Below are 12,030 nucleotides of genomic sequence, written 5' to 3' on the forward strand. Positions count from 1 at the left end.
ATGTCACCGCACTGCTGCCTGGGCAACAGAGCAAGACTCTGTCTCAAAAAAAAAAAAAAAAAAACACCAAAACCCCAAACCCCAAAAAACCCTGTGGAACGAATGAATGGAAGAGTGAATGAAGATCCGGGTGGTGACAGCAGATCCTCTAGTTTGGGGTAGGGAGGGAGATCCCCGGTTCCACCCTGTCACGCCTGTCTGTGCCCGCCCCTGTCCCTTCCTTACCCTTGGCAATCTTGATGTCCAGGGCTGTGCGGATCAGAGCCATGAGGGTGGAATTGAAGTGGACGGTGTTGTCATCTGCGACGGGCAGGTCCATCCGCAGAAGCCGCTACAGAAAACCCAAGGCAAGCGCAGTCATTCCCAGGCATCCCTCCTGGGTCTCCCGTGAGCCGCGCCCGCCCCTACCCAGGGAGTCCCAGGAAGAACTCTGAAAGCTGTGGCGGCTGAGGTGTCTCTTACTTAGGTTACCTGTCCCAGTACTCAGTTTCTCTTGGTGGCCCGCAGGGAGGGCACAAAAGGCTCTCTTGTACTTCTGGTCCCCTGCCCTCTCCTTTTTTCCCCCACCTGCTTGACCTGAGAGCTGGCATTTCCAGGGTTTGCCTCAACCCTTGCCCCACCCCCGCCCTGCCCCAGAGTTCTTCTGGATGGCCCCGTTTCAGTCTGACCCCAAAGAAAAAGAGCACAAGCTGGATTTGAGCAGTGCATGCAACAGCCAAGGCTGAGGGGGCCAGGACCACAGCCGCTGGTGGGGGGTGCCACTGGCTCCCCACACCCAATCCCTGGCTTGGCCCAGACCAGGACAGAGCAGATGGGCACAGACCACATCATTCCTCTGAGAAGCAGCAGGCAGGCAGCCCCCCACTGACGGGGCAGGCCCCTCGCAGGCATGCAGCGAGGCTGTGACACAGAACAGCACAGACAGGGGCGCATGCAGACGGAATCTCGAGACTCATTCATAGCTCCGTGGGAAGTGTATCTCAGGGGCATGTCCAGATCTTGGCTCTCTGTGCAATGGCAGGGGGAAGGGGTGAGGGGCACTCCCTTCCAGCCCAGGGAAGAAAAGATTCCCCATGTCCCAGGCAGGGGCTCTGTCCACCATGCTTGGTGGCATGGGAGAGGATGCTGGGCTGGTGTGCACCAGCCCAGGCTGAAGTGGCACAGAGAAGGGGGGTGAGGGCAACTTGGGTGGGGATTCAGACACAAGTGGGCAGGAAACACAGAGTTGAAGATGGGGAGGGGTATGGTAAATCCAGAGCAGGACACTGGAGGGGACACTGGGGGTAGGGTGGGGAAGGAGGTGGGAAATAGAGAAACACACATAGACTGGGCCACTGTGCACAGTTGTGCAGGTTGTACACCGCACAAAGGGCTCCCATCTTGGAAATGATAGATTTATGTACTTATTTATTAATTAAAATATTTTTTCTTTTTGTAGAGATGGGGTCTCGCTATGTTGCCCAGGCTAGTCTCGAACTGGGCTCAAGTGATCCTCCCGTCTCAGCCTCCCAAAGCACTAGGATTACAGGCATGAGCCACCACGCCCAGCCCCCGATTTGTATATTAAATATAACAGCTTCCCAGGTGATAGAAAAAAAGTGTCTTGTTCTCACCACATTGGTAGATTGCAACAATTTTCCAACAGGCATGTTCTGTGGAAAGGGTGCCTTTTTCAAATTTGCACAAAGTTGTCTTATGGACCCATGGTGGTCCTGCACAAAGACCAGGAGAGGAAGGGCTCGCCCTCCCTCTCTTGCACATGCGCACACATTCATCTAAGCAGAGACTGAGAGAAGCGACTTGAGGAAAACCGGGGGGGGGGGGGGGGGCGGCAGGGAGGGGCACAGAGCGACAGGTGCCAGGAGAGGCTCATTGTCTGAGATGCTGGTGGGACAACCTTGTCCCCGGCTTTGATTGAGAAGGAGGGGAGACATATAGGTTAGGTGAGGAGGGGTGCACAGAGGAAGGAAAGGAATGAGGTGGCAACACGGGGCAGGTACAAATAGCATTGATGGATAGGGACGCAGGGAAGATCAAGGTGGATGGGAGAATAGGATGATGGGGTAATACTTTTTGGGTGGGGAGAATCTTTAAAGGTCATCCCTGAACTTCTTGTGGATGAATGGAGGGAACAGAGCATCTGTCCTTGGGCACCAAGGGAGATTCCAGGACAGGGATCTGGAGGGGTGGCCCGGGCCAGCCGCTTGGCGGCAGGACGCTCGCTCTCTCAGCCAGCATGCACCACCCCCCGTCGGCCATGGTGCCTGCCCGCCCCAGGCCCCGCCAAGGCAGCGTGCATGGCCTGCATCAGTGTGCCACCGTCCAGGGGTCCAGCTGCGGCCGCCTGCCCACTCTGGAACAATGGAGAGGCATGTTGGGGTGTCTTGGGGGGATTAGGGACGGGGGCTGGGGACGAAACTCCAGGGGAAGGAAGGGAGGGGAAGAGAGGTTCTTGGTGCTCCTTGGAAGGTCTCGAATCCCCAAGGCCCTAGGTCAGAGATCAGCTTCAGGTGTGCGTGGCAGGGGCGGGGACCCGGGACCTCGCCTGCTTTCGGGGGCTAAAGCCCCTCTCTGCAAGGCGCCTGCCCCAGCCTGGGCATGGGGGCCGCTCTGGGTGGGCAGAAGTGGGAAGCATGGGTTTTGACTCCCTGAAGAAGCGTGTTTGTTTCCAATTTGGTACCTGGGAGACCAGGTGCAAGGGGACCTGGGCGCTCCCCTCCCCCTCCCCCCGGCATGTCGGCCATAATGGAGTCTCAAAACACGAAGACACTCATCAGAAAGGACGGACACAGTGTGCTGCTTAGAATCAAGGGATGGTCATGATCAGTTGACTCGAGAAAAGAAAAAAAAGAATCAAAAACAAAAAAGAAGAGAAACGTTGGAAAAAGAGAGTCGGCCGGGTGTTTCTGGTCAGCACTAAAAAAAAAGAAGAAGAAGAAGAAAAAAAAACCCAGTGCCTGGACGTCGGTGGTCGGCAAGGGTAGTCTACCTTGTAAGCCACTCTGGCCGGACACTTCTTCCCCAGACCCAGGGGCGGAGACATGTGTCTCAGCATCTGATACATGTCCAGGTAAGGCATGCGGCCCCTGGCAGCACCGAAAATGAAAAAAACAAAAACAAAAACAAAAAAACAAAACGGGAATGGGAACAGAGAACCAAAGGAAGAGAGGTGGGGAGAAACAGAAGAAAGAAAAAAGAAATCCACACGAGCCGAAAAAATAGAGAGAGAAAGATGCAGAGAATGATAAAATAGATATTTCAAATCAATGGAAAAGAGGAGGAAAAAAAATGGAAGAAAAGGTCAGTAAAAAAAGATTACTTCACTGCTCGGGAGCAGGGAGAGAGAGAGAAAAGAGAAAAGTCAGATTCAGCGTGGGCTCTGAGCTACAGTTCTGGAGGGATGCGGAGGGGAGGGAGAATTCTCACTTTGGAAGACGTAGAGCCATGCTTTTGTTCATTGCCTTTTTTTTTTTTTTTTTTTTTTTTTAAAGAGACAGGGTCTCTCTCTGTCGCCTGGGTTGGAGTGCAGTGGTGTGATCATAGCTCACTGCAGCCTCCACCTCCTGGGCTCAAGCAATCCTTCTGCCTCAGCCTCCCAAGTAGCTGGGACTACAGGCATGCGCCACAATGCCTGGCTAATTTTTTATAGAGAAGGGGGTTCTTGCTATGTTGCCCAGGCTGGTCTCAAACTCCTGGGCTCAAGCGATCCTCCTGCTTTGGCCTCCCAAAGTGCTGGGATTACAGGCATGAGCCACTGCGCCCGGCCATCACTGTTATTTCTACAGTTGGGTCACGTTCTCTGGTTTGGCTGAGGCTGGTCTCTGAGGGGGCCTAGGTGGGGAGCAGGGGCCAGTGCCAGGGAGGGGAGGAGGGCTAGGGGCTTTGGGAGGTGAGGGGTGGAGGGGGAGAGAGTGGAGGTGATGGTTGGGGGAGAAATGCAAAGTTACAATCCCCCAGGGGATGTATCTGATTTGGGGTGCCGTGGAGACCCCAGGATGGGCAGCTTCAGCTAAGAGCAAGCAAAGATGGCTGAAGGCTGAAGGGAAGGAGGAAATATGTTCCATGCTTTATCGAGTCTACATGACTGCATTCTGTTGGCTAAGAGAGTTTTCTAGTTTAATGCAAGAAAGAGAGATGGCTCTGTTTTTTTAGAGAGAGAGAGAGATATATATATATATATATATGAAATATATATATTGAAGAACCCCAAGCCACACTCATTCCATGGATGCTAGCAGGTTTTAGTGGAAGTCAAACCTTGCAAGCAACCCTATGAGGACATTTCTTGCCTAAGCCGAGAGGGGGAGATATTACTCGTAATAAACTGTACATATCCTTATAATGAATCCGACCGCTGAAAGGAGAAGAAAGGGGGTTAGTGCAGGCAATGGGTTCACACGGGCTCCCTGGGCACACAGCGAGGTCATGATGCCCGAGGCTGGGGTGTCCCTGGCTTGAAGGAGTGGGAGAGACTGGGGACAAGTGAAGGTCCCCAGTACATTCCCAGACACTGGGGAGACCCAGGGGTGTAGGATGTCAGTCGAGTTCGGGACTGCAGGGCACCTCCCCTGGGGCTCTCTCTGCATCTGCCTCCTCCACAGTCTACATGGGCTACAGGGGTGGGGGGGGGCTTGTGGAATAGAGGCCTTGGGGACAGCATCCAATTGCTGTGACCTAAAATCAAAAGAGGAAGAGTTAGGAACCAGCCAAAGCCCAGCCCCAGACCCACGGCTCTCCCCAGCCTCTCGGTCTCATGGAGTACTTGTTTGAGGCTATGGGAATAGCCAAGACCACCTCCTGCCCACCTTCCTCGTGACGGCCTCCTCTCTGGTGCTGAGGCCAGAGGAAGATGGGGCTTAGGCTGCTGAGGGCCCCCCAGTAATGCTTCTTCAGGCCCCAAGACCAGCCTGAACTAAATCCTCAGTTAGTGGCTGGTGGGTTCCAGGTATTCAGATAAAGCCTCTGAGTGTCCTTCAAGGCTTGGTGTTGGGTGGGCACTCAATACACGTGCACAAGGTGGAACCCACCCTCTGAAACCATTGCCCGTCAGTGGAGAGGGACCCCTCTGGTGTCTACCCAGATGGGAGCGCCCACTCCCTTTGTGGCCACAAAGATGCATGGGCCCCTGAGGCTCTGCGTCCTCCCCTGGCCTGTATGTCCTCTCACTCCCAGGTTCACGGGTCCCAGTGGGAGCTGAGTTCTGCTACTCTGATGTTGCTGCCAATCCTGTCTGCCAAGGGTAGGCCAGCCCTCCTCCCCACACTCTCAAGAGAACTGAGGCTGGGATGCTGTTGGTTTTCTCCCTGGAGCCTGGCTAATGCATCCTCACCATCTGGAGACTTCACAGTGAGAGACAGGAGAGACTCGTAGGAGGAGAGGGCTCTTCAGGACATCTCATGGTTGACGCCCTCCCTCATTTCCCAGAAAGTCCAGGGTTTGGGCAGGGTTGGCACCCTACGTGTTTAATCTGGGGTATGCAAGGGTGATGATTCTTATATCTTCTCTCCTGACTGAACCTGTGAGACCCCTGCTAGGACCCCAGGAGTTCAGTGCTCCAGAGTCTGGGGCCTGACCTAGCCCGTGTTCCAGTTCCAGGGAGAGGTGAGTATTGTGGCTGGAGGATTCGGGGTGACTTCTTACCAAGCTGCGGGGTCATACTCGGCCCAGACACGCACGTACTCATCCAGGTGGTGGGGGCCCAGGATGGAGGAGTCTCGGGTGAGGTACTCAAAGTTGTCCATGATGACGGCGACAAAGAGATTCAGCATCTGTGGGGACCCCGGGGACCAAGAGAGAATGGGGGCAGAGACCGAGGGAATGAATGAGTGAGTGAGAAGGATACAGACAGACAGACGGACAGACAGACCCAAAGACATGTACACAGAGGCCCAGATGGAGAGAGGGATAGAGAGAAGATGGGGAAAGGAAATGAGACAGAGACAGAAAGAGACTGGGGAATGGAGAGGTGATGCTCACTCACACAAGGAGGTCCAGTGAGAGAGAGATCAAGTGGAGAGATGGGGAAGAGGAAGAGAGAAACAGAGAGAGATGGAGAGAGAGAGATACAAAGAGACAAAGACTGGCCGGGCACGGTGGATCACGCCTGTAATCCCAGCACTTTGGGAGGCCGAGGTGGACAGATCACTTGAGGTCAGGAGTTTGAGACCAGCCTGGTCAACATGGTGAAACACTGTCTCTACTAAAAATACAAAAATTAGCTGGGTGTGGTGGCATGTGCACCTGTAATCCCAGCTACTTGGGAGGTTGAAGCTGAAGAATCGGTTGAACCTGGGAGGTGGAGGCTGCAGTGAGCTGAGGTCTCGCCACTGCACTTTAGCCTGGGCAACAGAGTGAGACTCCATTTCAAAGAAAAAAAAAAAAGAGAGAGAGAGACAAAGACCAAGAATGATGGAAAGAAACAGAGTCAGTGAGAGGGAGGGGAGGCTTCTGAAACAGGGACCAACACCAAGAGAACCACTGTGACCCCAAATCCTCCCACATCTGCCCCCAACAAGGCCAAAGTGAGGTATTTCTTCCCTCGCAATGTTTTTTTTTTTTTTGTTTGTTTTTGTTTGTTTTTGAGACAGGATCTCATTCTGTCGCCCTGGCTGGGGTGCAGTGGTGTGATCATGGCTCACTGCAGCCTCGACCTCCAAGGCTCAAGTGATCCTCCCACCTCAGCCTCCTGAGTAGCTGGGACTGCAGGTGCACAGCACCACGTGTGCAGCTAATTCAATTTTTTTTTTTTTTTTTAAAGAGATGGGTTTCACACCATGCTGTCCAGGCTGGTCTTGTATTCCTGGGCTCAAGTGACCCTCCCACCTCAGCCTCCCGAAGTGTTGGGATTACAGGCATCGGCCACTACGCCCAGCTGAAATATTTCATTGAGTCTCAAATGGGGGAATTCTGGCCCCCACTCCCAACCCCACCCCCACCCCCTGGGGGCACCTGGCAATGTCCGGAGACATTTTTGGTTGTCACAACAGGAGGAACGGGTGGCGTGTGCTGCCAGCATCTGGTGGGGGGAGGACAGGGATGCTGCCATACACTGCAGTGCACATGATGGCCCCACCCCAAAGAATCAGCCACCCCCAAATGTCAACAGTGCTGAGTTTGAGACGCTCAGGGTCACCTGATCCCAGGCTGGTTCAGAGAAGCCTTGGAGGGAACAAGCCTTCGACACAGCCACATTCCACAGAAACCCACTCCCCTGAAAGGAAGCCAGGCTTAGGGAGCCCAGACGGCCCTCACAGTGTCCACAGACTCACCAGAAACGAGCAGAGGAAGATGAAGGAAACAAAGTAAAAATAAGCAAATTCATTGCCACACTCTCGAGTCAGGATGCCAGAGTTCTTATCACACGGTTTCCCGCTGAGGCAGGAAAGCATGATGTTGTGCCAAGCTTCCCCGGTGGCACTCCTGAGGACAGGGAGAAATCAGAGACTCGGACACCCAGCCCTGACTGGGTACCAACGCCTCCCCAGGAGGTGGAGCACACACGTTGAGCACTTGGGCTCTGGAGCTGGCCAGGCAAGCCCCAGGTGGACCACCTCCTTTTACTGGGAGCTGAGAGAAGGGAATTCACATTCTTGGCTGTGCACTGAAGTCCACAGAGAGCTTTGAAAAAATACCAATGCCCGTGCCCCACCCCAGCAGACTTGGATTCAGTTGGTCTAGGGTGGGATTTGAGGACACTGATATGTTTTTTTCTTTTCTTTTCCTTCTCTCTCTCTTTCTTTTCCTTTCTTTTCTCTCTCTCTCTCTTTTTTTTTTTTGACAGGGTCTTGCTCTGTTACCCAGGTTGGAGTGTAGTGGCACAATCACTGCTCACTGCAGCCTCAACTTCCCAGGCTCAGGTGATCCTCCCGCCTCGGCCTCCTGAGTAGCTGGGGACTACAGGCACACGCCACCACTCCTGGCTAATTTTTAAACTATTTTTTTTTGTAGAGATGGGGTTTCACTGCATTGCTCAGGCTGGTCACTGTTATGCTTTAAAAGCTCCCCTCTTGGCTGGGCGCGGTGGCTCACACCTGTAATCCCAGCACTTTGGGAGGCTGAGGTGGGTGGATCACGAGGTCAGGAGATTGAGACCATCCTGGCTAACATGGTGAAACCCTATCTCTACTAAAAATACCAAAAATTTGCTCGGTGTGGTGGCGCTCACCTGTAGTCTCAGCTACTTGGGAGGCTGAGGCAGGAAAATCGCTTGAACCCAGGAGGCGGAGGTTGCAGTGAGCTGAGATCGCGCCACTGCACTCCAGCCTGGGTGACAAAGAGGGAGATTCTGTCTCAAAAAAAAGCAAAAAAAAAAAAAAGCTCCCTTCAGGCCGGGTGCAGTGGCTCATGCCTGTAATCCCAGCACTTTGGGTGGCTGAGGCGGGTGGATCACCTGAGGTCAGGAGTTTGAGAACGGCCTGACCAACATGGCAAAACCCCGTCTCTACTAAAAATACAAAAATTAGCTGGGCGTGGTGACGGGCACCTATAATCTCAGCTACTCGGGAGGCTGAGGCAGGAGAACTGCTTGAACCTGGGAGGCAGAAGTTGCGCCGAGCCGAGATCGCACCACTGCACTCCAGCCTGGGCAACAAGACCGAAACTCTGTCTCAGATTAAAAAAAAAAAAAAGCTCCCCTCCATGAAGGTGACAGTCATCTCATACTATATTCTCCCTAGATCACTCTGTTCTAGGTATGCTGGGCTCCTCACAGTCCTCAAACATGCCAGCCATACTCCTGCCTCAGGGCCTTTACACAGGCAGTCCCCTCGGCTTGGCCTGCCCTTCCCCATATACCCACTGACTCCCTCCCTTGCCAATTTCTCTCAAATGTCACACTTTCAGAGAGGCATAACCTGCCGGCCCTCTATTCTTTTTTTGTTGTTAGATTAAAAACATTATTATTTTTTACTGTGGCAAAATACACACAGCATGAAGTTTATCAATTTAACCATTTTGAAGTGTACAATTCAGTAGCATTAAGTAAGCTCACATTATTATGCAACTATCACCACTATCTACCTCTGTAACTTTTTTTAAAAATTAAAAAAATATATTTTTCTTTTTAGAGACAGAGTCTCGCTCTGTTGCCGAGGCTGGAGTGCAGTGGCACAATCATAGCTTACTGTAGCCTGGAACTCCTGGGCTCGAGCAATCCTCCTGCCTCAGCCTCCCAAGTAGCTGGGACTACAGGTGTGTGGCACTATGCCCAGTTAATTAAAAACAATTTTTTTGTAGAGACGGGGTCTCACTATGTTGCCCAGGCTGGTCTCAAACTCCTGGGCTAAAGCGATCCTCCCACCTCGGCCTCCCAAAATGCTAGGATTACAGGCACGAGTCACTGCACCTGGCCCTATTCCCCTTTATTCTTGAATTTTATCTTTTTCCAGCATCCTCTATAATTTGTTTCCTGATTATTCGTCTTCCCCATGGGGATGTTAGCTTCCAAAGTGCTTAAAATGTCTCTTTTCTCTATTTCCTGGTGCATCCTCGTTTTTCAGCCCTGCCTGGCATGCTGTAGGTGCTCAATACACCTCCACAAGAGGAGCTTGCAGTGAGCCGAGATGGCGCCACTGCACTCCAGCCTGGGCAACAGAGAGAGACTCCATCTAAAAAAAAAAAAAAAAAAGGGCTGGGCACGGTGGCTCACGCCTGTAATCCCAGCACTTTGGGAGGCCGAGGCGGGCGGATCACGAGGTCAGGAGATCGAGACCATCCTGGCTAACATGGTGAAACCCCGACTCTACTAAAAATACAAAAAAATTATCTGGGCGTGGTGGCGGGCGCCTGTAGTCCCAGCTACTCGGGAGGCTGAGGCAGGAGAATGGCGTGAACCCGGGAGGCGGAGCTTGCAGTGAGCCGAGATCGCGCCACTGTACTCCAGCCTGGGGAACAGAGCGAGACTCCATCTCCAAAAAAAAAAAAAAAAAAAAAAAAAGCCCCCCCAAAAAACCTACACTGAACGAGTGAAGGAACTTTTGTGTGCAGCCAAGATGATGAACCAAAGAATCAAGCCTCACGGTCTGTAAGCCTGTTTTCTTATTTGTCGGATAGGGCTGCCAAGAATCCCTTCCTCACAGGGTGGTCAGGAAGATTCAGAGATAATGCCTGGAAAATGACCTTGATGACTATGTCCCAGGGCCCTCTGCTTCTGCCCTGCTAGGATTCCTGGGCCCCCCACGACACCCATTTCCAGCCTCACGGGAAAAGAAGGATAAGAGCACATCTGGCCACCCCCACACCAGAAAAGGAGGAGGAGGGCACGCCCCCTATCGGAAGAGAAGGCCGGCACGTCCCCTACCGGAAGAGAAGGGCACGCCCCCTACCGGAAAAGAAGGGTGAGGGCGCGCCCCTGCCAGAAGAGAAGGAGGAGGGCACGTCTTGCATTGGAAGAGGAGGGTACATCCTCTATGGGAACAGAAGGATGAAGGCAGGCACCCCACCCCACGGAAACAGAATTATCAGAGCAGGTCCCCTTCTCACCGGAAGAGAAGCATGAGGGCCTGGAAGAAGGTCCGGAAGTTATTGTGCTCAGTGATTTGGAACTCATCTTCATCACTGTCCTCGTCCTCCACGTCGATGCCAATGTTACCAAACACCTGTGGAATTGGAGGGTGACGACCAGGGGCTGCCATTCCTCCAGTGGCTTCTGGGAAACCCAGCTCAACCTCCATGGCTGCTTCTGTGAACCAGGCTCCTCTGACCCACCCCTTTCTAAGGGTGGCTGCCCTCCTTGGGAGGCTCTGGGAACCTTAGGGACACGACACTCACCTGCATCCCAATGATGGCATAGATGAAGAAGAGCATGGCGATCAGCAGACAGACATAAGGCAGGGCCTGGTGGGAAAAAAGGCAATGAAGAAGAGTGCTGGGGGTCCCTCAGCCGCACTGTCTTCCTCCCTTGTCCCAGTGCTCTGCCCCACTGGGTTGGGTGGCCATATGCCACGTGCCAGAGTCCTTCCAGGGCTGGTGGGCATCTCTGGGGGCTCTAGGATGAGGCCCTTACAGCTCTGAAGACACACCAGGGACAGGAAGTTTGACAACAGCCTTGGAGATAACAGATTCTCTGCACGACTACATCACAGAGGCACTTCCAATCTGACTTCTACATTCAGCCAGAGCATGAGGGTCACCTGTCTTCTCAGCCCTGGGCCAGCAGCAGGGACGAGGACTCACCTTGAAGGACTGCACAAAGGTCCAGAGAAGAATGCGGATGGTGTAACCCTGACGGAGAAGTTTGATGAGCCGGGCAGCTCGGAAGAGGCGGAGAAAGCTCAGGTTGATGAAGTTATTCTGGGGAGATGGAGGAAGAGGGGTGACCATCCACCCACCCCAAAAGGCTCAGAGCTGTCACCACTCACAGAGGCCCCTACATGAAGCCAACCAACAGGAAAAAAGCAAGCCAGACCCCAAATAAGGAGGGAGAGAGAAAGCACTATTAATGCAATGATGCAGAGGAAAAACTCGAAAAAGGAATAATGTTGGGAGAGAGAGGGTGGGAGGGAGGAAAAGGCATCAACTCAAAAGCATAAGCCCTCCCTGCCAGCCCCACCCACAATGGGGAAAAGAAAAGAAAAAGAAAGGAGGAAAAAGGAACGGGGATGGGGAAGAAATAACAAAAGAACAAGAAAAAGAAAATATATCCGAATCATCCAATCAGGAAAAAAATCGAGATGGTTTTTGTTTCTCCCAACAACCAAATGCACTGAGACGAAAGGACACAAGCCGGTCAAGTTGCGGAATCTATCATACGTGTACGATGCACAAACACCAGGGCGGGGGTGGGGGTGGAGGTCGCCAGCACAGTCAGGCCTGGTGGACATGTGCGGGTTCCGAGGGCATGTTACGCTCCGGGCCAGAAATGCATCTGTCACGGGACTCACCGGGCACCCTGCCCTGCCCTGCCCTGCCGAGCTGCCCACCCGCTCCTGCCCGCCCTGACCTCACCCCACGGCCAAGAGGAGCAGCGGCTCGAGCCAATTGGGAGAAGCGGAAGAGCATCTTTTCTTACCCCCTTGGCGAGCGGGAATGGGG

At 53.2% G+C, this 12,030-nt stretch overlaps 1 protein-coding gene across 5 annotated transcripts in view, besides 6 other annotated features; it reads right to left on the reverse strand.

Annotated features, from left to right (window-relative positions):
* The window catches only part of CACNA1A (calcium voltage-gated channel subunit alpha1 A), a 300,038-nt gene that overhangs the window by 18,000 nt on the left and 270,008 nt on the right, over positions 1 to 12,030 (reverse strand). For 4 of the 5 annotated variants that reach the window (NM_001127222.2, NM_001174080.2, NM_000068.4 and 1 more), the window contains 7 exons: positions 11,173 to 11,289; positions 10,768 to 10,833; positions 10,480 to 10,595; positions 7,269 to 7,419; positions 5,641 to 5,768; positions 2,990 to 3,086; positions 226 to 331 (listed from right to left, as the gene is read on the reverse strand). In NM_001127222.2, the coding sequence (NP_001120694.1) occupies positions 226 to 331; positions 2,990 to 3,086; positions 5,641 to 5,768; positions 7,269 to 7,419; positions 10,480 to 10,595; positions 10,768 to 10,833; positions 11,173 to 11,289 (781 nt within the window). Of the gene's footprint in view, positions 1 to 225; positions 332 to 2,989; positions 3,087 to 4,257; positions 4,355 to 5,640; positions 5,769 to 7,268; positions 7,420 to 10,479; positions 10,596 to 10,767; positions 10,834 to 11,172; positions 11,290 to 12,030 lie in introns of all 5 variants that reach the window. The other variant, NM_001127221.2, reaches the window with a different exon arrangement.
* Positions 360 to 861: an enhancer, noted in NCBI's record as "H3K4me1 hESC enhancer chr19:13335615-13336116 (GRCh37/hg19 assembly coordinates)". NCBI's record gives its function as "activates a minimal SCP1, AML or CMV promoter by ChIP-STARR-seq in naive H9 embryonic stem cells {active_cell/tissue: H9 hESC(naive)}" and the evidence as "EXISTENCE:reporter gene assay evidence [ECO:0000049][PMID:30033119]".
* Positions 862 to 1,361: an enhancer, noted in NCBI's record as "H3K4me1 hESC enhancer chr19:13336117-13336616 (GRCh37/hg19 assembly coordinates)". NCBI's record gives its function as "activates a minimal SCP1, AML or CMV promoter by ChIP-STARR-seq in naive H9 embryonic stem cells {active_cell/tissue: H9 hESC(naive)}" and the evidence as "EXISTENCE:reporter gene assay evidence [ECO:0000049][PMID:30033119]".
* Positions 1,884 to 2,385: an enhancer, noted in NCBI's record as "H3K4me1 hESC enhancer chr19:13337139-13337640 (GRCh37/hg19 assembly coordinates)". NCBI's record gives its function as "activates a minimal SCP1, AML or CMV promoter by ChIP-STARR-seq in naive H9 embryonic stem cells {active_cell/tissue: H9 hESC(naive)}" and the evidence as "EXISTENCE:reporter gene assay evidence [ECO:0000049][PMID:30033119]".
* Positions 6,583 to 7,083: an enhancer, noted in NCBI's record as "H3K4me1 hESC enhancer chr19:13341838-13342338 (GRCh37/hg19 assembly coordinates)". NCBI's record gives its function as "activates a minimal SCP1, AML or CMV promoter by ChIP-STARR-seq in naive H9 embryonic stem cells {active_cell/tissue: H9 hESC(naive)}" and the evidence as "EXISTENCE:reporter gene assay evidence [ECO:0000049][PMID:30033119]".
* Positions 7,084 to 7,584: an enhancer, noted in NCBI's record as "H3K4me1 hESC enhancer chr19:13342339-13342839 (GRCh37/hg19 assembly coordinates)". NCBI's record gives its function as "activates a minimal SCP1, AML or CMV promoter by ChIP-STARR-seq in naive and primed H9 embryonic stem cells {active_cell/tissue: H9 hESC(naive and primed)}" and the evidence as "EXISTENCE:reporter gene assay evidence [ECO:0000049][PMID:30033119]".
* Positions 10,211 to 10,260: a silencer, noted in NCBI's record as "silent region_10204". NCBI's record gives its function as "represses an Ori minimal core promoter by ATAC-STARR-seq in GM12878 lymphoblastoid cells {active_cell/tissue: GM12878}" and the evidence as "EXISTENCE:reporter gene assay evidence [ECO:0000049][PMID:35858748]".

This window comes from Homo sapiens, chromosome 19, assembly GCF_000001405.40.
Source record: "Homo sapiens chromosome 19, GRCh38.p14 Primary Assembly".
NCBI classification, from domain to species: Eukaryota; Metazoa; Chordata; class Mammalia; order Primates; family Hominidae; genus Homo; species Homo sapiens.